The sequence below is a fragment of the Homo sapiens genome, chromosome 15 (assembly GCF_000001405.40).
Source record: "Homo sapiens chromosome 15, GRCh38.p14 Primary Assembly".
Classification (NCBI taxonomy): domain Eukaryota; kingdom Metazoa; phylum Chordata; class Mammalia; order Primates; family Hominidae; genus Homo; species Homo sapiens.
This window is the reverse complement of record NC_000015.10, coordinates 98436958-98464360: the sequence shown is the minus strand read 5'-3', so window position 1 is coordinate 98464360 and position 27403 is coordinate 98436958. Positions and strand designations below refer to the sequence as shown.

Here is a 27403-nt window from a genome sequence, read left to right as displayed (position 1 = left end):
TGGTTTCTTTTTCATTTAGCACAGTGTGTTTTCGAGGTTCATCCAAATTGTAACATGTGTTAATATTTTGTTCCTTTTTATTGTTGAGTAGTATTCCATTGTATGAATATCACATTTTGTTTATGCATCTATCATAAACAAAATTAGTTGATGGGTTGTTTCCAGTTTTAGGCTATTATGAATTACCCTGCTATAAACATTCACAAACACGTCTTTGCATAGACATTGTTTTCTTTTCTTTTGGGTAGGTTCCTAGGGGTAGAATTGCTGGGTCATTGGGTAAGCTTATGTTTGACTTCTTAAATAACTGCCAAATTGTTTCACAAAGTGGCTGTACCATAACACATTTCCATCAGCAATAGATGAGGGTTTCAATTTCTCCACATCCTTGTCAACAGTTGTTATTGTTTTTTTTTATTATAGCCATTCTAGTAGGCCAAAAGTGGCATTTCATTGTGGTTATAACTTGCATTTCCCTAAGGACTTAGGATGTGAAATATTTTTTAATTGATAAGTAGCCATTTATATGTTTTCTTTGAAGAAATGTCTGTTCAGATTTTCTGTCCATTTTTAATAGCGTTGTCTATTTTCTTCTTATTGAATTGTAAGAATTCTTTATATATTTTGAATCTAATTCTTTTATCAGAAATGTGATTTGTAAACATTTTCTTGCAGTCTATGGCTTGTTTTTCATTTTCTTAGTGGTGTCTTTTTTTTTTTTTAATTTCCGTAAGTTATTGGGGGAACAGGTGGTGTTTGATTACATGAGTAAGTTCTTTAGTGGTGATTTGTGAGATTTTGGTACACCCATCACCCGGGCAGTAGACACTGCACCCTATTTGTAGAGTTTCATTCCTCACCCCCTTCCCACCCTTTCCCACTCAGTCCCCGAAGTCCACTGTGTCATTCTTATGCCTTTGTATCATCATAGCTTAGCTCCCACTTTTGGGTGAGAACATATGACTTTTGGTTTTCCATTCCTGAGTTACTTCACTTAGAATAATAGTCTCCAGTCTCATCTGGGTTGCTATGAATGCCATTAGTTCATTTCTTTTTATGATGGCTGAGTAGTATTCCATCATACATATATACATATCACAGTTTCTATATTCATTTGTTGATTGATGGGCATTTGGGTTGGTTCCTTGATTTTGCAATTGCCAATTGTGCTGCTATAAACATGCATGTACAAGTATCTTTTTTTTTTTTTTTTGTAATGACTCTTTTCCTCTGGATAGATACCCAGTAGTATCTGGGTATCTGCTGGATCAAATGGTAGTTCTACTTTTAGTTCTTTAAGGAATCTCCACACTGTTTTCTACAGTGGTTGTAGTAGCTTACATTGCCACCAGCAGTGTAGAAGTGTTCCCTGTTCACCACAGCCACGCCAACATCTACTACATTTTTATTATGGCCATTCTTGCAGGAGTAAGGTGGTATTGCATGGTGGTTTTGATTTGCATTTCCCTGATCATTAGTGATGTTGAGCATTTTTTCATATATTTGTTGGCCATTTGTATATCTTCTTTTGAGAATTGTCTGTTCATGACCTTAGCCCACTTTTTGATGGGATTGTTTTTCTCTTGTTGATTTGTTTGAGTTCATTGTAGATTCTGGATAGTAGTACTTTGTCAGATGTATAGCTTGTGAAGATTTTCTCTCACTCTGTGGGTTGTCTTTTTACTCTGCTGACTCTTCCTTTTGCCATGCAAAAGCTCTTTAGTTTAATTAAGTCCCAGCAATTTATCTTTGTTTTTATTGCATTTGCTTTTGGGTTTTTGGTCATGAAATCCTTGCCTAAGCCAATATCTAGAGGGGTTTTCCCAATGTTATCTTCCAGAATTTTTATAGTTTGAGGTCTTAGATTTAAGTTCTTGATCCATCTTGAGTTGATTTTTATATAAGGTGAGCGATAAGGATCCAATTTCATTCTCCTACACGTGTCTAGCCAATTATCCCAGCACCATTTGTTGAAAAGACTGTCCTTTCTCACTTTATGTTTTTGTTTGCTTTGTCGAAGATCAGTTGGCTTTAAGTATTTGGGTGTATTCTGGGTTCTCTATTCTATTCCTTTGGTCTTTGTGCCTATTTTTATACCAGTACCATGCTGTTTTGGTGACTATGGCCTCATAGTATAGTTTGAAATCAGGTAATGTGATGCCTCCATATTTCTTCTTTTTGCTTAGTCTTGCTTTGGCTATGCAGGATCTTTTTGGTTCCATATGAATTTTAGAATTGTTTTTTCTAATTCTGCAAAGAATGGTGGTGGTATTTTGATGGGAAATGCATTGAATTCGTACATTGCTTTTGACAGTATGGTCATTTTCACAATATGGATTCTACCCATCCATGAGCATGGGATGTGTCTCCATTTGTTTGTGTCATCTGTGATTTCTTTCAGCAGTGTCTTGTAGTTTTTCTTGTAGAGGTCTTTCACCTTCTTGGTTAGGTGTATTCCTAAGTTTTTTTTTTTGCAGCTATTATAAAAGGGGTTGAGTTCTTAATTTGATTCTCTGCTTGTTTGCTGTTGGTGTATAGAAGAGCTAGTGATTTGTGTACATTAATTTTGTATCTGGAAGCTTAGCTGAATTCTTCTATCAGTTCTAGGAGCTTTCTACAGGAGTCTTTAGGGTTTTCTAGGTAAATGATTATATCATCAGCAAACAGTGACAGTTTGACTTTCTCTTTACTGATTTGGATGCCTTTTATTTCTTTCTCTTGTCTGATTGCTCTGGCTAGGATTTCCAGATTCTGGCTATGTTGAAGAGGAGTGGTGAGAGTGGGCATCCTTGTTTTGTTCCAGTTCTCAGAGGGAATGCTTTCAACTTTTCCCCATTCAGTATTATGTTGGCTGCGGATTTGTCATAGATGGCTTTAATTATATTGGGGTATGTCCGTTGTGTGCCGATTTTGCTGAGAGTTTTAATCATAAAGGGATGCTGAATTTTGTCTAATTCTTTTTCTGCATCTATTGAGATGATCTTATGATTTTTGTTTTTAATTCTGTTTATGTGGTGTATCACATTTATTGACCTGTGTATGTTAAACCATCCTACATCCCTGGTATGAAACCCACTTGATCATAGTGGATTATCTTTTTGATATGTTGTTGGATTTGGTTAGCTAGTATTTTGTTAAGGATTTTAGCATCTATGTTCATCAGGGATTTGGTCTGTAGTTTTCTTTTTGGCTATGTCCTTTCCTGGTTTTGGTATTAGGGTGATACTGGCTTCATAGAATGATTTAGGGAGCGTTCCCCCTTTCTCTATCTTGTGGAATAGTGTCAATAGGATTGGTACCAATCCTTCTTTGAATGTCTGGTAGAATTCTGCTGTGAATTCATCTCATCCTGGACTTTTTTGTTGGTCATTTTTAAATTACGATTTCAATCTTGCTGCTTGTTATTGGTTTATTCAGGGTATCTAATTCTTCTTGATTTAAGCTAGGAGGGTTGTATCTCTCCAGGAATTTATCCATCTCCTCTAGGTTTTCTAGTTTATGCACGTAAAGGTGTTCATAGTAGCCTCGAATGATCTTTTGTATTTCTGTGGTGTCAGTTGTAGTATCTCCCGTTTCATTTCTTATTGAGCTTATTTGGATTTTCTCTCTTCTTTTCTGGGTTAATCTTGCCAATGGTCTATCAATTGTGTTTATGTTTTCAAAAAACCAGCTTTTTGTTTCATTTATCTTTTGTTTTTTTGTTTGTTTATTTGTTTTAATTTCATTTGGTTCTGCTCTGATCTTGGTTATTTCCTTTTTTTCTGCTGGGTTTGGGTTTGGTTTGTTCTTGTTTCTCTAGTTCCTTGGGGTGGCGTGACCTTAGATTGTCTTTTTGCTCTTTCAGACTTTTTGATGTAGGTGTTTAGGGCTATGAACTTTCCTCTTAGCACTGCCGTTGCTGTGTCCCAGAAGTTTTGATAGGTTGTGAAACTATTGTTATTCAGTGTGAAGAATTTTTAAATATCCATCTTGGTTTCATTTTTGACCCAGTGATCATTCAGGAGTGGATTATTTAATTTCCATGTATATGTATATGATTTTGGAGGTTTCTTTTGGAATTGACTTCCAGTTTTATTCTGCTGTGGTCTAAGAGAGTGCTTGATATCATTTCAGTTTTCTTAAATTTATTGAGGCTCATTTTATGGTCTATCATATGGTCTATCTTGGAGAAAGTTCCATGCACTGTTGAATAGAATGTACATTCTGTGATTGTTGGATGGGATATTCTGTATATATATGTTAAGTCCATTTGTTCCAGGGTATAGTTTAAATCCATTGTTTCTTTGTTGACTTTCTGTCTTGATGGCCTGTCTAGTGCTGTCAGTGGAGTATTGAAGTCCCCCACTATTATTGTGTTGCTGTTTATCTCATTTCTTAGGTTTAGTAGTAATTGTTTTATAAATTTGGGAGCTCTAGTGTTAGGTGCATATATGTTTAGGATTGTGATATTTTCCTGTTGGACAAGACCTTTTATCATTATTATAATGCCCCCTTTTCCTTTTTTAACTGCTGCTGGTTTAGTTTGTTTTGTCTGATATAAGAATAGTTACTCTTGCTTGCTTTTGCCTGAAATGTCTTTTTCCACCCCTTTATCTTAAGTTTATGTGAGTCCTTATGTGTTAGGTGAGTCTCTTGAAGACAGCAGGTAGTTGGCTGATGAATCCTTATCCATTCTGCAATTCTGTATCTTTTAAGTGGACCATTTAGGCCATTTACATTCAGTGTTAGTATTGAGATGTGAGATACCACTCCATTCATCATGCTGTTTGTTGTCTGTATACCTTGGTTTTTTGTTTCTGTTTTTTAAATTATATTTTTGTTTTATAGGTCCTGTGAGATTTATGCTTTAAAGAGGTTCTGTTCTGATGTGTTTCCAGGATTTGTTTCAAGATTTAGAGCTCCTTTTAGCGGTTCTTGTGGTGGTGGCTTGGCTTGGTAGTGGCGAATTCTCTCAGCATTTGATTGTCTGAAAAAGACTACATCGTTCCTTCATATATGAAGGTTAGTTTCACCGGCTACAAATTTCTTGGCTAATTGTTTTGTTTGAGGAAGCTGAAGATAGGGCACCAACCTCTTCTAGCTTGTAGGGTTTCTGCAGAGAAATCTGCTGTTAATCTGATAGGTTTTCTTTTATAGGTTACCTGGTGCTTTTATCTGACAGCTTTAAAGATTCTTTCCTTTGTCTTAACTTTAGATAACCTGATGACAATGTGCCTAGGTGATAATCTTTTTGCGATGAATTTCTCAGGTGTTCTTTGTGGTTCTTGTATTTGGGTGTCTAGGGCTCTAGCAAGGCTGGGGAAGTTTTCCTCGATTATTTCCCCAAATATGTTTTCCAAACTTTTAGATTTCTCTTCTTCCTCGGGAGCACTGATTATTCTTACATTTGGCATAATCCCAGACTTCTTGGAGGCTTTGTTCATATTTTCTTATTATTTTTTCTTTGTCTTGTTGGATTGGGTTAATTTGAAGACCTTGTCTTTGAGCTCTGAATTTCTTTATTCTCTTTGTTCAATTCTATTGCTGAGACTTTCCAGAGCATTTTGCATTTCTATAAGTGTGTCTGTTGTTTCCCGGAGTTTTGATTTCTTTTTAATGCTATTTCCTTGAATATCTATTTCCTGCCTTCACTTCTTGTATCATTTTTTTGGATTTCCTTACAATGGGCTTCGCCTTTCTCTGGTGCCTCCCTGATTAGCTTAATAACTAATCTCCTAAATTCTTTTTCAGGTAAATCAGGTATTTCTTCTTTGTTTGGGTCCGTTGCTGGTGAGCTACTGTGATTTTTTGGAGATGTTAAAGAACCTTGTTTTGTCATATTACCAGAGTTGGTTTTCTGGTTCCTTCTCATTTGAGTAGGCTCTGTCAGAGGGAAGGGCTAGGGCTGAAGGCTTCTTTTGTCCCATGGGGTGTTCCCTTGATGTAGTGCTTTCCCCCTATTCCTGTGGATGTGGCTTCCTGAGAGCCAAGCTGTAGTGATTGTTATTTCTCTTCTGGGTCTAGCCAGCCAGCAAGTCTACCAGGCTCCAGCTGGTACTGGGGGTTGTCTGCACAGAGTCCTGTGATGTGAACCGTCTGTGGGACTCTCAGTCATGGATACCAGCACAGTATTTGGGGTGTCTCCTGGGTCCTGCAGGAGCAATCTGCTTCCTTCAGGGAGTCTGTGGGTCCTCTCAGGTTTCCTGATTTATTCCTGCAGTTGTTCTGGAGCAAAAATTTACAATGCGAGCCTCCACACACTGCTCTGTCTGTCCCAGTCAGAGCTGCAATCTAGTCCTGCCTCCCGTCCGCCATGTTCCCCAGTCGTGCCTTTTGAAACAAAACATTTAAAACATTGATGAAGTTAGGTTTGTCAATTGATTGTGTTCTGGGTGTTGAATCTAAGAACTCTTTGCCTAACCCAAGGTTGGGGAGATTTTTACTTTTTCTAAAAGCTTTATAGTTTTAGCTCTTACATTCATGTCTATGATCCATTTTGAATTATTTTTTTATGTATGATGTAAAGTAAAGGTCCAACCTCACTTTATAAAATACCTGATACATTAAAAAATATGAATAAGCTTTATTTTTAGAATAGTTTTTAGTTTTATAGAAAAATTGAGGGGCAAGTACAGAGTTCCAATGTATCCTCTCCCCCAATCATTTCCCCTATTGTTAACATATTGCGCTAGTGAGGTACGTTTGTTACAATTGATGAACCAATATTGACATATACACTAGTTTTCTAGGGCTTCCATAACAAAATACCACAGACTGGGTGGCTTAAACTAGGGGTCCCCAGTCCCCGGGCCATGGACTGGTACCAGTCTGTGGCCTGTTAGGAGCTGGGCTGCACAGCAGGAGGTGAGGGGTGGGCGAGTGAGCAAAGTTTCATCTGTATTTACGGTCACTCCCATTGCTCATGTTACCACCTGACCTTTGCCTCCTGTCAGATCAGTGGCAGCATCAGATTCTCGTAAGAGTGCGGACCCTACTGTGAACTTCACATGCGAGGGGTCTAGGTTGCGTGCTCCTTATGAGAATCTAATGCCTGATGATCTGTCACTGTCTCCCATCACCCCCAGATGGGACCATCTAGTTGCAAGAAAACAAGCTCAGGGCTCCCACTGATTCTACATTATAGTGAGTTGTATAATAATTATTTCATTATATATTACACCATAATAATATAAATAAAGTGCACAATAAATGTAATGCACTTGAATCATCCTGAAACCATCCCCTCCGTTTCCTGGTCCATGGGAAAATTGTCTTCCATGAAACTGGTTCCTGGTGCCAAAAATGTTGGAGACTACTGACTTAAACAACAGAAATTAATTTTCTCACAGTTATGGAGGCCAGAAGTTCAAGGTCAAGGTGTCAGAAAGCTTGTTTTCTTTAGAGGCTTCTTCTTGGCTTGCAGATGGCTGCCTTCTCACTATGTCCATACTTGGTCTTTTCTCTACTTGAGTATTGCTGGTATCTTTCTGTGTGTCCAGATTTCTTCTTATAGGGACACTAGTCCCTGTAAGAAGGTTGGAGTGGTGCATATCCTAATGCCTCCTTTTTAGCTTCATGACCTCTTTTAAAGGCCTTATCTCCAACCAGCTGCAAAGAAAGTATCTTCTGAGGTACTGTGGGTTTGCGAATGTGGGAGACACAAGGTTCAGCCTATAAGAATAGATTATCATTAACTGAAGTTCATAGTTTACATGAGAGCTTACTCCATGTTGTAACTTCTATGGGTTGTGACAAATGTTTAATGGCATGTGTCCACTGTTGTAATATCACACAGGGTAGTTTCACTGCCTAAAATTCCTCTGTACTCTGTCTACTCATCCTTCTTACTCCTGGCCCTGGTAACCACAGATCTTTTTTTTTGAGACGGGGTCTCACTCTTGTCACACAGGCTGGAATGCAGTGGTGTGATGTTGGCTCACTGCAACCTCCACCTCCCCAATTCAAGCAGTTCTCGTGTCTCAGCCTCCCAAGTAGCTGGGATTACAGGCATGAGCCACCATGCCTGGCTCAGTTTTTGTATTTTTAGTAGAGATGGGGTTTCGCCATGTTGACCAGGCTGGTCTTGAACTCCTGACCTCAGGTGATCCACCCACCTTGGCCTTCCAAAGTGCTCGAATTACAGGTGTGAGCCACCGCGCCCGGTCACCATGCCTCCCTAGTTTTGCCTTTTCCAGAATGTAATATACAGTCATTTGTCACTTAGCCACAGGGATATGTTTTGAGGAATGCATTGTTAGGCAATTGCATCATTGTGTGAACATGATAGAATGTATTCACATAAGACTTGATGGCAGAGCCTGCTGCACTCCTAGGCTGTGGAGTATGGCCTGTCATCTCTAGGCTACAAACCTGTATAGCTCGTTACTGTACTCATTACTGGAGGCAATTGTAACATAATGGTATTTCTGTATCTAAACATATGTAAATATAGAAAAGGTACAGTAAAGAGATTTAAAAACAGTATGCTCGTGTAGAGTACTTACCGTGAGTGGAGCTGCAGGACTGGAAGTTTCTCTGGGTGATTCAGGGAGTGAGTGAGTGGTGAGTGAATGTGAAGGCCTAGGACAGTACTGTGCACTACTGTGCACTTTAGAAACACTGTACACGTAGGTTACACTAAATGTCTACTTTTTCCTTCAATAATAAATGAACTGTAGCTTACTGTAACCTTTTTACTTTACAAAAACTTTTTGATTTTTTTAACTTTTTGACTCTTTTGTAATAACACTTGGCTAAAACATAAATACATTATGCAGCTGCACATAAATATTTTCTTATTCTATAAGCTTTAATTAAAAAAAATTTTTTTTTAAGTTTAAAAATATTTCTTGCTGAAAGCAAAGAGACAAACACACTCCTTAGCCTAGGCCTACTCAGGGTGAGGATTGTCAATATCACTGTCTTCCACTTCCACATCTTGTCCCACTGGAAGGTCTCCAGGGGCAGTAACATGCGTGGAGCTATCATTTCCTAGGATAACTGCCTTCTTCTGGAATACCTCCTAGAGGACCTGCCTGAGGCTGCTTTACAGTTAATTTTGTTTTTATAATGAGTAGAAGGTGTACGCTCTAAAATGACAATACAAATATAGTATAGTAAATACATAAACCAGTATCAGTCATTTATTATCATTATTGGGTATTAGGTACTGTGCATAATTGTATGTGCTAGACTTTTTTTTTTTTTTTGGCAGAGGCTTGTTCTCTTGCCCAGGCTGGAGTGCAGTGGTGCAATCTCGGCTCACTGCAATCTCTGCCCCCTGGGTTCAAGCAATTCTCCTGCCTCAGCCTCCTGAGTAGCTGGGATTACAGGTGCATGCCACCACACCTGGCTAATTTTTTTTATATTTTTGGTAGAGATGGGGTTTCACTATGTTAGCCAGGCTGGTCTCAAACTCCTGACCTCAAGTGATCCTCCCACCTCGGCTTCCCAAAGTGCTGGGATTACAGGCATGAGCCACCATGCCCGCCTGTATGTGCTAGACTTTTATATGACTGGCAGTGTGGTAGGTGTGTTTACCCCAGCATCACCACAAACACATGAATAGCGTGTTGCATTACGACTTTATGATGCCTATGACTATCACTAGGCGACAGGAATTTTTCAGCTGTATTTTAATCTTATGGGATCTCCATTGCACATGTGGTCCATTGTTGACTGAAACGTCTTTATGAAGCACATTACTGTAGTTGGAATCCAATGGAATGTCATTGTTCAGTTAGCTTCTTTCACTTAGTAATATGCCCTTATGGTTTTTCTATATCTTTTTATAGTAATAACTCATTTCTTTTTAGTGCAGAATAATGTTACATTGACTGGATAAGCCACAGTTTATCCACTCACCGTCCGAAGTACATCCTGATTGCTTCTAAGTTCTAGTAATTATGAATAAATATTTGTGTGCAGATTTTTGTGTGAACATCGTTTTCAACTCCGTTGAGTAAATATCAAGGAGTGTGACTGCTGAATCACAAGGTAAGAGTATGTTTAGTTCTGTAAGAAACTGCCAAAATGCCTTCCAAAGTGGCTGCACCATTTTGTATTCTGACAAGCAATGAATGACAGTTCCTGTTGTTCCACATCCTCACCAGCATTTGTTGTTGTCTGTGTTAAAGAATTTGGCTATTCTAGGCCAGGTGTGGTGGCTCACACCTGTAATCCCAGCACTTTGGGAGGCCGAGGCAGGCGGATCACCTGAGGTCAGGAGTTCGAGACCAGCCTGACCAACATGGCGAAACCCTGTCTTTACTAAAAATACAAAAATTAGTTGGGCATGGTGGCACATGCCTGTAATCCCAGCTACTTGGGAGGCTGAGGCAGGAGAATCGCTTGAACCCAGGAGGCGGAGGTTGCAGTGAGCTGAGATCGCGCCATTGCATTCCAGCCTGGGCAATAAGAGCGAAACTCTGTCTCAAAAAAAAAATAATTTGGCTATTCTAATAGGTGTGTAGTGGCATCTCATTGTTTAAATTTGTGATTTCCTAATAGCATATGATGTGGAGCATCCTTTCATATGCTTAGTTGTAGAATTACAAAGAGGATTTTGATAGAGCCAGCATTGAGTTTACAGATCATTTTGGGAAGAATTATTGTAAGAATTGAGTCATCCAATCCATGCACATGGAATTTCTCTTCATTTATTTAGCTCTTCTTTAATTTCTCTCAACAATGTCTTGTAGTTTTTGGTGTTCAAGATTCTTTTGTTAAACATACTCTTAATTATTTACTTCTTTTTAATGCTATTGTAAATTAAATTGCATCTTTATTTAATATTAAAGCCTTTTAGTTTTGGAAGACTTCACAATTACAAGAACATTGCTCTCATCTTCTATATATTGAAATAATATAATTGCAAGCAAGTTGGTACTGTCATCTCAAGCGCATCAAGCTTGAAATCCCAAATATTTTATAGTTACTGTCTCAAGAGAAATGAACTTCCTTATTGGCTGTAGATTATTTATTTTTAAATTCATTTTTGGTATGAAATAGTAACTGCTTATTTAGCTAACAATTCTTTTGCTTGGCATTTTAGGCTGAGCTCAGCTGGGTGATTTTCTAGTCTAGCTGGGCTTGCTGTTTATCCATGGTAACCTGCCTGTCAGGTGGCTCTGCTGCTTGGGGCTGGCGAGACATTCCCTGGGACCGCAGCAGTGCGTGGGCCATATTCCTTTCATGGTAGCAGGTCACCCTGGGCTTGCTTTTGTGGTGTGTTGCAGGGATCTGAGAGAGAACACAGGTACACTGGACCCCAGGAGGCCTAGGCTTAGAGTGGTGGTGCTGTCACTCTGCCTCATTCTGTTGACCAAAGTGAGTCACAAGGCCAGCTGGAATTAGAGGTGAGGGGAAATTGATCCCATCTCTTGATGGGAGGAGCTTCAAAATCAGATGCAAAGGGGCATGGCCATAGGAAAGAAGTAATCGTGGCCATTTTTGCAAACAGTTCACCATGGCAGTGTGTATCTTTGCATTTCAGTCTGGCTGATTAGAATCGGAGTCATTTTTGTTTGTTTGGGAAATTACCCACTTCTGAATCTTGGCAGGGACAAATACCACCACTTCCAACAGAAGCTGAAAATGCTCCATATTTGTTTTCTTCTTCCATTGCATCTAGGTCATGGGCATCTGTGCAGTTTGGAGGTGAGGAAGGTGAGCTAGTAGGCCCAGTGTAGAACTGGTGTTCTAGTTAGGGTGATGACAGAGGTGCCTGGCTGAAAGGCCACGTTCTCATTGCAGAAATGGCAACTGTGCTGGTGTTGACTTTGGTTGCGATACAGTTAAGTTGTGGGTGAAAAGTGGGGAGGGTGCCAATTGTCACCTCTCTGGCTCTGCTGCAGCAGGGCCATCAATATTTCATGAGAAGCAGGGCCTGGTGGTGTGTCTATATGGGGTAAGTGCATTTTGCTATAATTGGACACGGTGAGCCCTTGCTAGAGTTACTGAAACAAGTGCGTACCCTAGAGATGGGTCGAATTGGTCTCTTCAGGTTTCACTTCTGCAGGGAGATAGTTGATGTTGCCAGATACTCCTGGTTGGCTCCAAGGGTCTCATTGAACAGTGTGCAGTGAAGGGAGGAATCTGAGGAGGATGCTGCCTGAGTGGCCTCACTCTGCCTAGTCTCCCAGGTTCACCTTTCATTTCAGTCCAGTGGTCTTGTATCATGTGAGTTTGTAAAGAAAGCTGATCAGTCAACTGGAGAATGATCTGCTATGTTAGCATCACTTGTTTAGCTTGTGTACCTGACCATGTTTCCAGGAGGTACCCATAACTCTGGCTGTGCAGGGGCCTTACAGGGTCCTAGTGGGTCAGCCGCGAGCCCAGGGGACAGTGTGTGTCTCTTTCTTTCTCTGCAGGCAGACTGTGTGGTGATGGCACCGGTGCATGCTACCTGCTGCCTGTCTTTGACACCGTGTTCATCAGGAGGAAACACTGGCACCGAGGCTTGGGAACAGCCATGCTGCGGGACTTCTGTGAGACATTCCCAGAGGACGAGGCCCTGGGGGTTAGCTGCTCGATGTCTCCTGCCATGTACCAAGGTAACCCCCCTTGTGTCGTGCAGAAGCATTTGGGTAAAGGTGATGGATAACACACGTGCATTCCAGGGGATTCTGCAGGAGGAGGCCCTGGGGAGCCCTCGTGGGCAGGTGCAGGCCTTGGCTCGGCGGCACGCACATGGGATTTTCCTTCCTTCTGAGAAATCTCTGGTTGCTGCAGCAGAAACCAAGACTTCATGTTTGATCACAAGAAGTGAACTCTCCCAAGCTGGAAAATAATTGGATTTAGAAACAATCACAAACAAATCAGCGAGCTCAGAGAGGAGGGAATCTGGAGAGCTGCCGCCAGGCTGCGGGCTGCGGGGCTTTGGAGTGCCTGTGCTCTTTCACTTGACGCCTGTAGTTCCTCACTTTGTCCTTTGAACTAGAAGCCACGGGAGAGCCCAGGAGCTGAAGGGAAGGCAGGGACCGGGTAGAAAGGCAAGCTCTGAATGGGCTGGGCTTTCCAGCGTCTCTGTAGCTCTCTACGCACAAGACGCCTCCCTCCCATATTCTTTATCCACGTTTGCCAGAGGAGGATGAAACAGCTCTGATGTGAAACATCACACTCTAAGGTGATGAGGGTGGGAGGCTCTGGAGAGCATGTCTCTGAGTCCCCTTCTCCCTCATGAAGCACACACACCCTACTTTGTGCTCTGCCCCTGTTCTTGGTGTGTGGCTGTTTTTGAACGCTTAGTATGCAGTTTCTGGTGTCTTTCTGGCTCAAGGGATAGGAGAGAACAGTTAGGAAAAGCAAGGAAGCTTCTGTTGCTGTGAAGTCATAAAGAAAAGCAGGTAAAAACATACTTTTCCTCAAGTGGGTCTGGCTGTTTCTTTGTATTTTCAAACTCTTAGTCTGTTGCTAAAACTCTGAAGAGCCTTGAATTTCTGCAAAGAGCGCTCGAGACTTCCTGCACCATGTAGCTCACTTTCAGGTGTAGGAGCATTCGGGGGCCCAGGCAGCTGGTCCTCTGTCCACACCCATGTCCTTCCAGGCCCCCTCCTCTTTCTTGTTTCAGGTGCAGGAGCATTCAGGGGCCCAGGCAGCTGGTCCTCTGTCCACACCCATGTCCTTCCAGGCCCTCTCCTCTTTGTTTCAGGTGCAGGCCACCTCACGGTTTTAGGAGGCTTTGGCAAGGGAGTGAAAGAGAGCCTTTTACTCAAAGGAACAGTGGACTCCAAGGCTAAGGGCTGGCTACTGAGCCTGGGCCAGCCTTGCTAAGACCCTGTAGGGCCCTATGATCCCTCTCGTCCTTCCACTGTCTTTGCCTGCAAAGAAAGATCTGAACGTGCTGATTCTGACTCACGCTACTTCTCTCTGGGCTTCAGACACCCAGATGTGCCTGTCAGGTTTTTATTGAGTTCACTGATGCCTTCCAACTGGACAGGAGGGACTCCTGCCCTGGGCCCCATGCTTTGAGCCTTCTTTCAACTGCATCTCCCTCCAGGGGGGCAAGGACTCCACGGGCCCAAGAGGAGGTACCCACCTGGCTCATGCTGCTCCTTCTAATCTGGCTCAGGGTGCCAGGACCCCAGAATTCCTGCCAGTGGCCACTGTGGGCCTGAGTGGACCTCATCCCATGGTCTGGGCTCATGAGGGTGGACCATGCCGCTAGTTTGCACATCCTTAGAGCCCAGGGGTGGCTCTTGGGGAGCTGTGGATGGCGTGTGGGGAGGACGGCCACATTTGTACTCACAGGCCCCTTGAGGTATCGGGGGCTGGGGTGGGAGGAGAAGGGGGTGGACTGCCGGCTGGGGGCCAGCTCGCTTGGTATTGCCACATTCTGGTGCAACACTCCAAGGAGTCCAAGAATTCTAAATTTGAAACGAGCTTCTCCTGTTGTTAGGAAGTTATATTTGTCAAGATAGGAGGGCAGAACGTGTCATATATAGCGCTTTGCTAACTTGGTTTGTACCTTTGGAAGACAGGCGTTCCTCATTTCACTGCTCTTCCCTTGATTGCACTTCGCAGATGCTGCGTGTTTTACATTTTGAAGGCTGTGGCAGCCCTGCTTTGAGCAAGTCTATCGGGGATATTTTTCCAACAGCATGGTCTCACTTCGTGTCTCTGTGTCATGTTTTGGTAATTTTCACAATATTTCAAACTTCTTCATTATTATTATATCTGTCATGGTGATCTGTGATCAGTGATATTTGACGTTACTATTGTAATTGTTTTGGGGCACCACAAACCATGCCCGTGTAAGTTAGTGAACTTAATCAATACACGAGCCTGTTCTGATTCTGCTCCCGACCAGCTGTTCCTTCCTTCTCTTCCTATTCCATGAGACACAACAATATTGAAATTAGGCCAATTAATAACCCTACAATGGCCTCTGAATGTTCAAGTGAATGGAAGAGTCACATGTCTTTCACTTTAAATCAAAAGCTAGAAATGACTAAGCTTAGTGAGGAAGGCATGTCAAAAGCTGAGGTAGGCTGAATGCTAGGTCTCTTGCACCAAACAGTTAACAAAGTTGTGAATGCAAAGGAAGAATTCTTGAAGGGAATGAAAAGTTCGACTCTGGTGAACATACAAATGATAAGAAAGTAAAACAGCCTTATTGCTGATAGGGAGAAAGTTTTAGTGGTCTAGATAGAAGATCAAACCAGCAACAACATTGCCTTAAGTCAAAGCCTAACCCAGAGTAAGGCCCTAACTCTCTTCAATTCTATGAAGGCTGAGGGATTTGAGGAAGCTGCAGAAGAAAAGTTTGAAGCTAGCAGAGGTTGGCTCATGAAGTTTAAGGAAAGACGCTGTCTCCATAACATAAAAGTGCAGGATGAAGCAGCAGGTGCTGATACAGAAGCTACAGCAAGTTATCTGGAAGATCTAGCTCAGATCATTGATAAAGGTGGCTACACTACACAACAGATTTTCAATGTAGGTGAAACAGCCTTCTACTAGAAGAACATGTCATCTAGGACTTTCATAGCTAGAAAAGAGAAGTCAATGCCTGGCCTCAAAGCTTCAAAGGACAGGTCGAGTCTCTTATTAGGGGTTGATGTAGCTGGTGTCTTTCAGTTGAAGTTAGTCCTCATTTACTGCTCTGAAAATCCTAAGGCCCTCAAGAATTATGCCAAATCTATTCTGTCTGTGCTTTAGAAATGGAACAACGGTGCCTGGATGACAGCATGTCTGTTTATAGCGTGTTTTATTGAATAATTTAAGCCCACAGTTGAGACCTACTGCTCAGAATAAAAGATTCCTCTCAAAATATTATTGTTCATTGACAATGCACCTGGTTATCCAAGAGGTCTGATGGAGATGCACAAAGAGATTAATGTTATTTCCATGCCTGCTAACATAATATCCATTCTGAAGCCTGGAGATCAAGGAATAATTTCAGCTTTCAAACCTTATTTAAGAAATACACTTCCTAAGGTTTCCATAGATAGTGATTCCTCTGATGGTTCTGGGCAAAGTACACTGAAAACCTTCTGGAAAGGATTCACCATTCTAGACACGATTAAGAACACTCATGATTCATGGAAGGTCAAAATATCCACATTCATAGGAGTTTGGAAGAAGTCGATTCCAACCCTCATGGATAACTTTGAGGGAGGAGTCCAAGACTTCAGCAAAGGAAGTCACGCAGATGTGGTGGAAATAAAGAGAGAACTAGAATTAGAAGTGGAGCCTGAAGATAGGACTGAATTGCTGCAACCTCATGATTAATCTTGAACAGTTGAGGAGTTGCTTCTTATGGATGAGCAAAGAAAATGGGTTCTTGAGTTGGAATCTCCTCCTGTTGAAGATGCAGTGGACATTGCTGAAATGACAACAAAGGATTTAGAATATTCCATAAATTAGCTGAGAAAGTAGCAGCAGCAGGGTTTGAGAGGATGGACTCCAATTTTGAAAGAAGTTCTACTGTGGGTAAAATGCTGTCAAACAGCATCACATGCTGCAGAGAAATCTATTGTGAAAGGAAGAATCAATTAGTGGAAGAAACTTCATTGCTGTGTTATTTTAAGAAATTGCCACAGCAACCCCACCCTGAGAAGCCATCAACCTTGACGCAAGACCCTCCACCAGCACAGATTATGACTTCCTGAAGGCTCAGATGATCACTAGCATTGTTTAGCATTAAAATATATTTTAATTAAGGTATGTACATTGTATTTTTAAGACAAAATGCTATTGCACGCTTACTAGACTACAGTATAGTATAAACATAACTTTTACATGTATGCACTAGGAAACCAAAAAATTTGCGTGACTTGCTTTGCTGTGATATTTGCTTTATTGTGGTGGTCTGGAACCAAACGCACAGTATCTCCGAGGCCTGCCTGCACTTAGCATTGCACTCTGTAGGTTTCCATCTGTGTTCTTCCCCGGGGCCCCCCAAATGTTAAGAAGAGGGCCTAATGGAGTCCTCATGGGCACCTGCAGAACCAGGAGCAGTTTCCCATTCACCTGGATTCGGGACATTGCCATGTGAAAATGTTCACCCACGAATGTTGGCATAAAAGTCTAGGAACCTTGAGTGGACTCTGGAATCCGGGAGGGAGCAGAGGATAAGCTTGAAGGTTCTTTGGGAGGGAGGAAGGACGGTGCATGAAGAGCGGCCAGGGTGGATGGTACTAAGGACTGAATTGGGCCCCCAACTCAAATTCGTATGTTGAAGCCCTTGGTGTGACCACATTTGGAGATAGGGCCTTTAAAAAGCTAATTAAGGTTGAACGAGGTCCTAAGGGCGGGCCCCTAGTCCAGTATGACTGGTGTCCTTAAGAAGAGAGGCACCAGGATGGACCCAAACAGAAACAGCCGTGTGAGGATGCAGGGAGAAAATGGCCATTCGTAAGCCAAGGAGAGAAGCCTCAGGAGAAACCAACCCTGGGCCACCTTGATCTTGGACGTCCAGCCTCCATAACTGTGTGAAATAAATTTCTGTTGTTTAAACCAGTGGTCCCCAACCTTTTTGGCACCAGGGACTGGTTTCGTGGAAGACAGTTTTTCCACGGATGGGGCAGGGACAAAGGGTTGGTTTCAGGATGATTCAAGCACATTACATTTATTTATTGTGCACTTTATTTCTATTGTGATTACATTTTAATATATAATGAAATAATTATGCAGCTTACCATAATGTAGAATCAGTGGGAGCCCTGAGCTTATTTTCTTGCAAATAGATGGTCCCATCTGGGGGTGATGGGAGACAGTGACAGATCATCAGGCATTAGATTCTCATAAGGAGTGCGCAACCTCACATGCAAAGTTCACGATAGGATCCGCGCTCTTATGAGAATCTAATGCTGCCGCTGATCTGACAGGAGGCGGAGCTCAGGCAGTAACACAAGCAATGGGAGCCACTGTAAATACAGATGAAGCTTCGCGCACTCCTCCACCACTCACCTCCTGCTGTGTGTCCTGGCACTGGTCGGTGGCCCAGGGGATGGAGACTCCTGGTTTAAGCCACCCAGTCTGCAGTGTTTTGTTAGAGGAGCCCTAGTAAATGAATGCAGATGGGAAGGGTGGAGATGAGAGCTCCTCATCAGGAGAAGCCGGGAGGTGGACCTGTCCATGGTAGGCAGTCGCAAAGGTGGTTTGAGTGCAGCAGGGATTCCAGCAGAGATCAGGGGGTGGAGGGCTGCTCGAGGACTGGAGTGGGCTGTGTCGGAGACCCAGAGAGCTGGTGCAGAGTGAACCAGGATGAGGTGGGGGACTTCCTGACTCATGCTGCGTTCTCTTCTCCCAGTCTGCAGGCAGTTCCTGCTGGTCTGTCTGGAGGAGCGAGGACGCCTGTGGGAGGTGGAGCGCCGGGGGGCCTGGGGCCAGTGCACCAATATCTGGCTAAAGGTTCAGCTTCACCAGGCAAGGCTTCCAGACTGAGTAGGACTGAAACACTGCACTGTGTCTATTTATTTCTGGTTTCAATACTAGCGTGGATTTACAGTGATCCAATGAGACCCATATAGATGTTATTTCTGTTGTGGCAAGAACAAAGGAGGGGTGGGACCTGGGTGAGGACATCTTATCCTCCAACGTTCCCCTCCTGAGTGAAGCACACCTTCCCATCCTTCTTGCTCAAAAAGATCACCCCCAGTTTAGCAGTTAGGAGCTCCCTGGGACTAAGGGACTTCCCTTTTACAATTAGATAGATTATTGAAACATATAAGAAGATCGGTTTCCTCTGCCTAGCTGAAGATGAGTTGAAAACACGATTCTGAACAGGTGATGAAAGGTAAAGTGTGCACTTGGTTGAAAACTCAAAAGAGTTGACTATGACAAGCAAGTCTTCTATCCTCCTCACCTCTGAGGGGACTGCACACGTCATGGCAGCATCACAGAGACAACGTTCTACAAAACCGCTGCCTGGTCTTTTTCACAGCAGCATAGTATGATGTCGCGTGGACGTGATGTCATTTATTTCCCTGTTGACAGATGCGCATTCCGTCTTCAGTTTCTGGTTGCTCGAGACAGTGCCCCAGTGGCAGTTTGCCAGTGGGGTTTAGTGGAGGAAGCAGGAGAACAGAGCCTCTGGTGGTGGGTTTCCAGGGGAGGCAGCAGGTGGGAAATCCTTTGATCAGCCAGATGGGAAAGCAGGCTTGCAGTGTCTGGGTTTCCAAGTTGCTTTTCTTTTTTTTTTTTTTGAGACAGAATCTCGCTCTGTCACCCAGGTTGGAGTGGAGTGGCGCAACCTTGGCTGACTGCAACCTCCGACTCCTGGGTTCAAGGGATTCTCCTGCCTCAGCCACTCGAGTAGCTGGGACTACAGGCATGTGACACCATGCTCAGCTAATTTTTGTATTTTTAGTAGAGATGGGGTTTCACCATATTGGCCAGGCTTGAACTCCTGACCTCAGGTGATTCGCACTCCTTGGCCTCCCAAAATGCTGGGATTACAGGTGTGAGCCACCGCGCCCGACCCCAAGTTGCTTTTTTGACAGTGAACTTTCTACTTCTCACAAATGGGGAACGGCTGCCCATGGCAGGCGCTTCTCAGCTCAGCGCTTCTCAGCTCAGCACTAAGAGGCGAGGCCAGGCCAGGGCTGGGGCAGCGGACACCTCCAGGCTTCAGGTGCTGCCATGGGTGGGAGGTGAGGGGGACAGTTAATTTAAATTAACTGTCCAAAATGCAAGCCCTGGCTCTCCTTCACTCCTGGAGTGGGTGCTCCCGTCAGCGTCGAATGCCATTTCTGCGGCTGCATGTGGCTCATTAGGGGATTGACAGGCAGCCGAGGTGCCAGGCTTTCTCTCCACGTGGTGACTGATCCACCTTAGGTGTCGACAGGTGAGCGTGCCTTGGAGTTTATTGATGATAATAGTGATCAGTTTTGCTTTTATGCTGGAAGGCTTAATGGATCTTTACAGATATTAATGGGGTGAGCAGGCACCGGGGAAGGAGGCATGGCAGGGCGGGGCTGTGCTGTGATCCTAATGAGGCGGTTAAGTGACTTGCCCTGTGGCACTGAGTTAGGAATGAAGGGAAGCCGGTCGGGTCCCTGGGCACTGAGCTGTCTAGCTGTTGGAGTTTATGGACACGCTTCACAAATGAGGCTGTGGGGCCTCGCACAGCCTCTGTGCTTGGATGTTTCAGTTCCTTGGCTGGGAATGGAAAAAGAAAATGCATTGCATATTGAAATGTGGAAATTGCACGGGCCAGAGGGGTGAGCAGGGACGAGGATGTTTTCTCCTAATTGGGGAGATGGCTCCTCCTGGAGAATCCCACTGGGGCTGTTTCAAGAGCTGGGAGTCGGTGTGGTCTGGGCAGAGGAAACTGAGCTGGAAGTCAGATGCCAAACATGTCACTTTAATTCACTCTGAGATTCACCAACTCTCATTTTAAAACAGCAAATGAGGGGACTTGCACAGAGAATGTTCCAGAAGCATGCTTGAGTCCCTTGAAGGAAGAAGGGTTATCATTATAATTAGGATATAATTAGATTACTAAAACTCTTTATTTAAAAAAAAATTCTAAGTTATGGTCTTTTCACTGCCTGTATAAATCATGGCTAGTTCCCAGTTTCACCCACATCTTCTTTCCCCTCGAGGGCCCGCAGTCAGGATTTTAATTCACTCAGGAAGGTTTTCAGCCAACCGGCTTCAGCTTGCAACCATTATGACAGTTAGTGCTGACATCTCAGGTTTTTTTCAAGTTGGTGAGTTGGGGCTGCAAATGTGATCACAGATTAGCTCGGTGCTCTGCAGTTTCTCGTCTGTTTCTCTCTTCATGGAAATCAGCAAGTGTTAGTGGATTAGAACTTCTTATGGGTCACCGAACAATGCAGATTCCGGAACCTTCTCTTCCCTGGGAATCTCAGTAGGCCATTAATTGGATGTTAGTCTTAAATTAGTCAGTGATTCTTAGAGTTGCTTTTTTGACTTGTTCTGTTTTTTTCAAGTTTTATCTGTTCTCCCTTCTTTTTCCTGACGGTTATTTTGGAGGTATCCTATAATTTTATGTGCCATAGAAATAGAACTGTAAGCAAGAAGCCCAGTGGAATCAATTGCTTCTTGCTCTAAATAAGGCATGAACATTTCACAACATTTCAAAGGGAAATTAACTTGTGCTCCTTGCAAATGTTTTAAAGACTATTTCTGAAGCAGCCTGATTGGTGGGCCAGGTCTTTAAAAGTTTGTGCGATCTTGGCTGTTGATAACATCTGCAGCTTATAATGGCCCTGAAAATATTTACAGGTTATGCAGACCTTTTGAGGGAAGGAGTTTGTGGGAAATTTCTTTCTTCCTACACTCAGTTACAGACAAAGCCTTTGAAACTTGACCAATAGGATCATAATTGCATCTGATGTGATTTCCCGGTCAGCCTGAACATGCCTTAAGTTTCTTTACCAGAGAGAGTGAAACTGAATATGTCAACAGTGAAATGTTCTTTTACAAAATTGTTGCCGGGATCAGGAAATAATTGACCACTGCTTTAAAAATTAATTTTTTTTCAATCTGTAAGTCATACTTTTGCTTTCTTTCTCCAGCTGAATTTTTAATGGATTCAGTTGTCATCCACAAATACTTTTATTTGCATTTAATTTTTAAACCAGAAGGATCTTTGCATCAAGAGATGTGAAAAATATGAGAAGGGAAGCGGGGGCTACTTTTTTGAAAGTTTGATGCCCAGCAAACTGCAGTTCTGACCTTTTTTCTCAGTTTGTTCTGGTGACTCATACGTTATAGAGTACAATAGCAACAGCAATTTTGTGGTGGTGCAGTGTGCTGGGAAGTGCTGGGGGCAAAACCACCATACTGGGTGTGTTTTTTTCTGTCGAATGCTGCTCTTTGACAGGTTGTGTGGCTCCCCTTAGTGGCCATTGTCGTCTACTGCAGCCTTGGATGATAACTTACCTCTGTGATTAGTGCTCTGATACCTCCAGGTGTGCTTCCAAATGAGTAATTAGTGCATTCATTTTTAAAGATTTAATGAACCTCAATTAGGAATGAAATACAAGTAAACATTTGATAGCTCACAACACATAAAAACATTAGGAAAGGTGGAAAACTGATAATGGGTTATCTACTTCATTTTCTCATTCATTCATTCATGTATTCCTTTATTCGTTCATTCGCTGTCAATGGGGCATCTACAGACGTGCCAGGCACTGTCCTAGACGTTAGGGATGCAGTCATGAACAGGGCTGACCTGGCTTCTGAACTTATTTACCAGCTAACTACATGGGCACCTACTACTGTGTGATATAAAAACTCTATGGCCGAGAGAACTCAAGTGTGCTGGTATTTTTAAGTGCCCACAATTAAATTTTGCCAAACCAAATTTTGCTAATTTATACAGTTCTGTAAATAAATTTAAAAATTTACTTATATAGATAACAACTAAATAATTCATTTGTTCTTTAGTAAACAAAATGTGTTACATAGGTATTTTCAGCTGAAATGCAAAACTGTGTATTTTTTTTAGGGATCTGAACACCACACACACACATATGGATTTGGGGGCGTGGGGTGTGGAGGTGCAAAGGAGGACAAGAAAGTCATCCCTTTCCAAGTCGGTACTGATTTGGTAGGAGAGGAGGGAGACTCACTGAACGTGGGTGATTATGACCTCTCTTGTGAGCAAAACCACCGGTGAGCAAAAAGAAGGATCCAGGACTAGAACTGGAAATGTGAGTCCATTGAATGCCAGAATCGATGGAAGAACAGATCACAATTCCAGCTCAGAAATGCTTGAGTGGAACCTCACTTTGCATCTCCTGACACCTGGCAGGTACTCCTGTCTTCTGGAGAGCATTGCAGCAAATGGCAAAGTGAAGGTCAAGAAGATAGAACTGACCCAGCACTTTGGGAGGCTGAGGCAGGAGGATGACTTGAAGTCAGGAGTTCGAGACCAGCCTGACCAACATAGTGAAACCCCATCTCTACTAAAAGTACAAAAATTAGCCAGGCATGGTGGCAGGCGTCTGTAATCCCAGCTACTCGGGAGGCTGAGGCAGGAGAATCACTTGAACCCGGGAGGTGGAGGTTGCAGTGAGCCCAGATGGTGCCACTGTACTCCAGCCTGGGCTACAGAGGGAGACTCCATCTCAAAAAAAAAAAAAAAAAAAAAAAAAAAAGAGAGAGAGAGAGATAGAATTGGGTCATGGCTATCAACATGTTTGCAAGGTCCCCAGTGTACTATTTCCTCTTTTGATTGTCCAGCCCCTTGGGAGCCACCCTCATTTGCTTATCCTCTTTCTGTTGCTTGGGGAGGGCAGCACACCCAGGAAATTCCGAGGACGTGAGCCGTCATGCGAGGACTTCTCAGAATGACAGACCCAGACAGCCTGCCCCTGGAGACGGCAGCAAGGTATGGTGATACTATATCACCCCATGAACCTCTCACTTTCCTAGTGATCAGGTTGTCCTTGCTTAGTGAAGCCGTGGTCTGAACCTGCCAGGCAGCTTCCCAGACGACTTGGCTGTGGGCTTCTCGTGGCAGCAGGGCCTTGGTCTAGGCTCAGAATCTCCGGGCTATCATGGGAGGGGGGTGTTGCGTGGAGAGGCCTTTGTAATTAGATTTTTTATGGTTCTCTTCTCTTAACTAGACAAGCTCTAACGAAACCAAAATGGAACAGAACACATGGGAATTGGCCGTAACCTTGCATCGTTAAGGAAATATTGAAAAATCTGAATTTCAAATTTTGCCATGGACCAGTGTCTGTCAAGCAGAACAAAAAGCAAGACAAATTTGTCTTTCTTTCCTCCTCCACTGCAAAAGCCCAGATTGCTGGGATGGAGTGGAATTAGGTATTAGGTTTTTGTACAATCCAGAGTGACTGTAGAATAGAATCTTGAGGGAATATTAAGAATATTTCTTAGTAGCTTGCTGTCATTCAATATTTTATAAAATTTTAGGTTTTCCTGGTTTTCTTGTGGCTAAACCAGACTCTTGACCAAACAGGGTATTGTGAAAATGTCCATTCTCTGGTGCCAAAGGGTCTTTACTTTCAAATCCCTAAAGAGTCCAAAATTACTTTAAACTTACGCTTGTACATCATGGACAAATACTGCTTATTTTGGAAAATATATTGCTCTGAAATAGAAGATTCAACAATGAAAGCAGAAAATATCCCAGTAAGTGCTGGATTGTTTTAGAAAGCTGCTTCCTGTCTGACATTAGCTCTAGCCATCTGGCAGATGAGGGCTTTCATTTTCTTTGGTTCACCATGGAAAGATGGGCTAACCTAAGACCCAACAGGCACTGAACAGAGAGCGTTGCACTTGGCCTTTTCCGCTGATCCTTGACTTTTCTTTTAAACCTGTTAGAGGAAGCAGAAATGTCCAGGTACTGTAACGCCCATGGGTGTGGACCTGGGGGAATTCTGCACATTTGAGCACGGGGTGCCAGCTTTGAAAGCAGTGCTTCCTTCCCTGCCCTTTCTCTGGTCTCCCCAGGCTGGGCTGTCCTTTAGTTCCTTTCAGTAAATACGTGCTCTTATGCACAAAACCTGATTTCCCCATGGCTGGCTGGAGCGTTTGAACCTGGCCTATTCTGAATCTCAGCAGGAAGTGCAGGCACAAGCCAGACAGGACACCTCCATGTCCTGAATGTCCAGCCCCAGACTGTGCAGGACGACCCCATTGCCATGTTTAATTGGAATGCCTGTGGATTCTTTTCTGACTTCAGGAGAGGATGTGTGGAGAAGAACTGGAAGACACAAAGGATGATCCAGAGTGTGGAGTGGAAGAGGAGGATGCCGGGCTGGCAGGGCAGCCACCAGGCAAGCTTACAAGGTCCAGTCCCTGACGTCTCCAGACGCCCATCTGGGCCAGGTCCAGAGGCCTGCCTGGGCTCCCAGGATTCGGGTCTGAGACTTGTGTGTCTGGGAGTGTACCTTCCCTGGGGATCTTTGAGGGGCCAGTGACCCCACGGGCCCCACCTACCTCTGAGGTGGGCTCAGGCTCTAGAGTACCTGAGAACGTGCTGCGCTCAGCATGCGACACCGTGCCACAGTGAGGAAGTATTTCCCTAAGTTAATTGTTGACAGTTCCTAAACGTTTCAGAAGCTTACTCGTTAAAACTAATGTGGTTTCTGTTTCTCAGGATAAATTGGTGGGACTTTACCGGAACCACAGGGATGTTTTACTGAATGTACCTCTTTCCTTATAGAAGTTTAAAGATGCTCAGGAAGGGGCCACACCCGTTCCATCTGGGCTGTAGAAACCCATTGCAGGTTTGTGCATGCCAGCCCTGCTGTTGCCGTGAGACCACGGACACCAAAGAGGTTTGCAGGGGTACACGTGTCCTTTCCGGACACCAAAGAGGTTTGCAGGGGTACACGTGTCCTTTCCCGGGAGGCTTCAGCCACATCAGTGCTGATGTGCCTCAAGGCACATGAGTGCCTTGAGGGCAGGGGCAGTGGCTGGATGGTGCCTACTGTAGGCCTGGAGCTCTCTTCTGGCCTGGTATACAGAAGGCACTCAGAGAGCTCATATGGGAAGTACTGGGTAGGAATTTGGGCAGATGGTGCTTCTAGAATATTGGTGGCCTTGAGTGGAAAGTCTTGTGGTAGTAAAAGTAACTGAAAATGATAGCCTGGCTCGAATGTGACATTGGCTTCCCCCTTCTCAAATACTGATGGAGCCCTGTTTGGTCGCTATAGTGTATGGCCGCTCTTGGGATGCAGAGACAAGGACCTGCTCTTAGGCCCCAGGTCCAATGGGCTAGGCAGAGTTGTCCCAGGGCCGCCTGCCCTCCTCAAGGGTGGGGCGCAAATCCAGGCTGCTTTAGGGAGCCCAAAGCCTGCTCCCCGAGAGGTGGGGTGGTGCTTTCTCTGCTATTGGGCCCAGCCTTGCTGATTTCAGTAGGATTTTTCCCAGAGAAAGCTGGTCAGGCCCTCTTGAGGCAGACGACCCAAGTTCTTGCCCCTGCTTTTGGGAAAATGCAAATCCAATCCCATTGCCGAGGACATCCCAAACCCCTCTGTGCTCATCACTGACTTTGGAGAAGCCAGGGGCCCTGCTGCCTCTGCTCCTTGCCATTGGAGTTCAGCTGCAGGATCAGCCCTGGGCTGCCTGGTTACTTTGTTGACAGAAGAAGAGGGTTTTACCTTTTTAGGATGTAATAAAGCCCCTCCTGTGGCCTGATGAGGAGACTACCAACAGTCCCAAGTTCTGGGAATATATCGTCTGTTCCCTTGAGCAGTCAAAGGACACACATGGTGGGACCTGTTATTTATTCATCCATGCACCCAGCTGTCCATCTCTCTGTCCATCCATCCGTCTATCCATCCATCATCCATCCATCCACCTAACCATCCATCTATTCAATCCATTCATCATCCATCTATCCATCCCTCCATCCATCCATTCATCCATCTATCCATCCATCATCCGTCCATCCTCCATCCATCATCCATCCATCCATCCTCCATCCATCATCCATCCATCCATCCATCCATCCATCCTCCATCCATCTTCCATCCATCCATCCTCCATCCATCCATCTATCCATCCATCCACCCATCCATCCATCCATCCACCCATCCATCATCCATCCATCCATCCTCCATCTTCCATCCATCCATCCATCCATCCATCCTTCATCCAGCCATCCATCTATCCATACATTTATCATCCATCCATCCATCATCCATCCGTCCATCCTCCATCCATCCATTCATCCTCTATCCATCCATCATCCATCCATCCATCCATCCACCCATCCTCCATCCATCCATCCATCCTCCATCCGTCATCCATCCGTCCATCCATCCATCCATCCATTCTGTTGTACAACAGATATTCAGCATGCTTTCTCAGGGACATGCTCTGTGCTGGGGACAGGGGATATAAGTGAGGTATGGATACTGGCCTCAGGAAACTCTCTTCTCTTTGGAGGAATCTCTTCTGGAGTGTTCCACTGGAGTTTTCATCTCTCTTGCACCCATTACAAAGATGGAAGGGTCCAATTGACTAGAAATATAGTTTAGAGATTCATATGGAGACATCATGAAGCCTGCCTCCCCCCTGCCCCTTATACTTGGGCTCTCTGTGCAGGTGGCACAGACCATAAAAGGAGAGTGAAGTCTACAGCCTAGAGGGTGCCCTGTGTGTGGTGTCAGATGTAACCTTTCACATGGGATGTGTGTGCTGTGAGCATTGTGCTATTTGAGATGAATGGTTAGTATTTTGTGTTTACATGAAAATAAATGTTTAAAAATGTCTCAGGGGTTTGATGAAGTTACTATTCAATAAAAGAAACCTCTCAGGGAAGAACAGCTGATGTATTGATGGCTTTGTTTAAGGGCATATGTACTGACCACACAAGTTAGAAGGCAATGCCGTGGAACTGAGAGCAACCTCCTGCCCAGTCCATGCCAGCTGTGAGGCCGTGTGCAGGGGTCCCTTCCAGCAGTGTGTGCAGGACTGCCCATAATGCACATCTTTGTGTGTGTTGTGTTGTTTTTATTAAATCAAT

General features: G+C 43.8%; 1 pseudogene across 1 annotated transcript in view, besides 1 other annotated feature; it reads left to right on the top strand.

Annotated features, from left to right (window-relative positions):
* FAM169BP (family with sequence similarity 169 member B, pseudogene) overlaps positions 1-27199 on the top strand; it is a 77175-nt pseudogene extending 49976 nt beyond the window's left edge. The window contains exons 5-7 of the transcript NR_171054.1: positions 12351-12533; positions 23199-23290; positions 24611-27199. The product of NR_171054.1 is annotated as a family with sequence similarity 169 member B, pseudogene (transcript). The remainder of the gene's footprint in view (positions 1-12350; positions 12534-23198; positions 23291-24610) is intronic.
* Positions 23103-23152: a silencer, noted in NCBI's record as "silent region_6853". NCBI's record gives its function as "represses an Ori minimal core promoter by ATAC-STARR-seq in GM12878 lymphoblastoid cells {active_cell/tissue: GM12878}" and the evidence as "EXISTENCE:reporter gene assay evidence [ECO:0000049][PMID:35858748]".
* Positions 27200-27403: the final 204 nt, after the last annotated feature.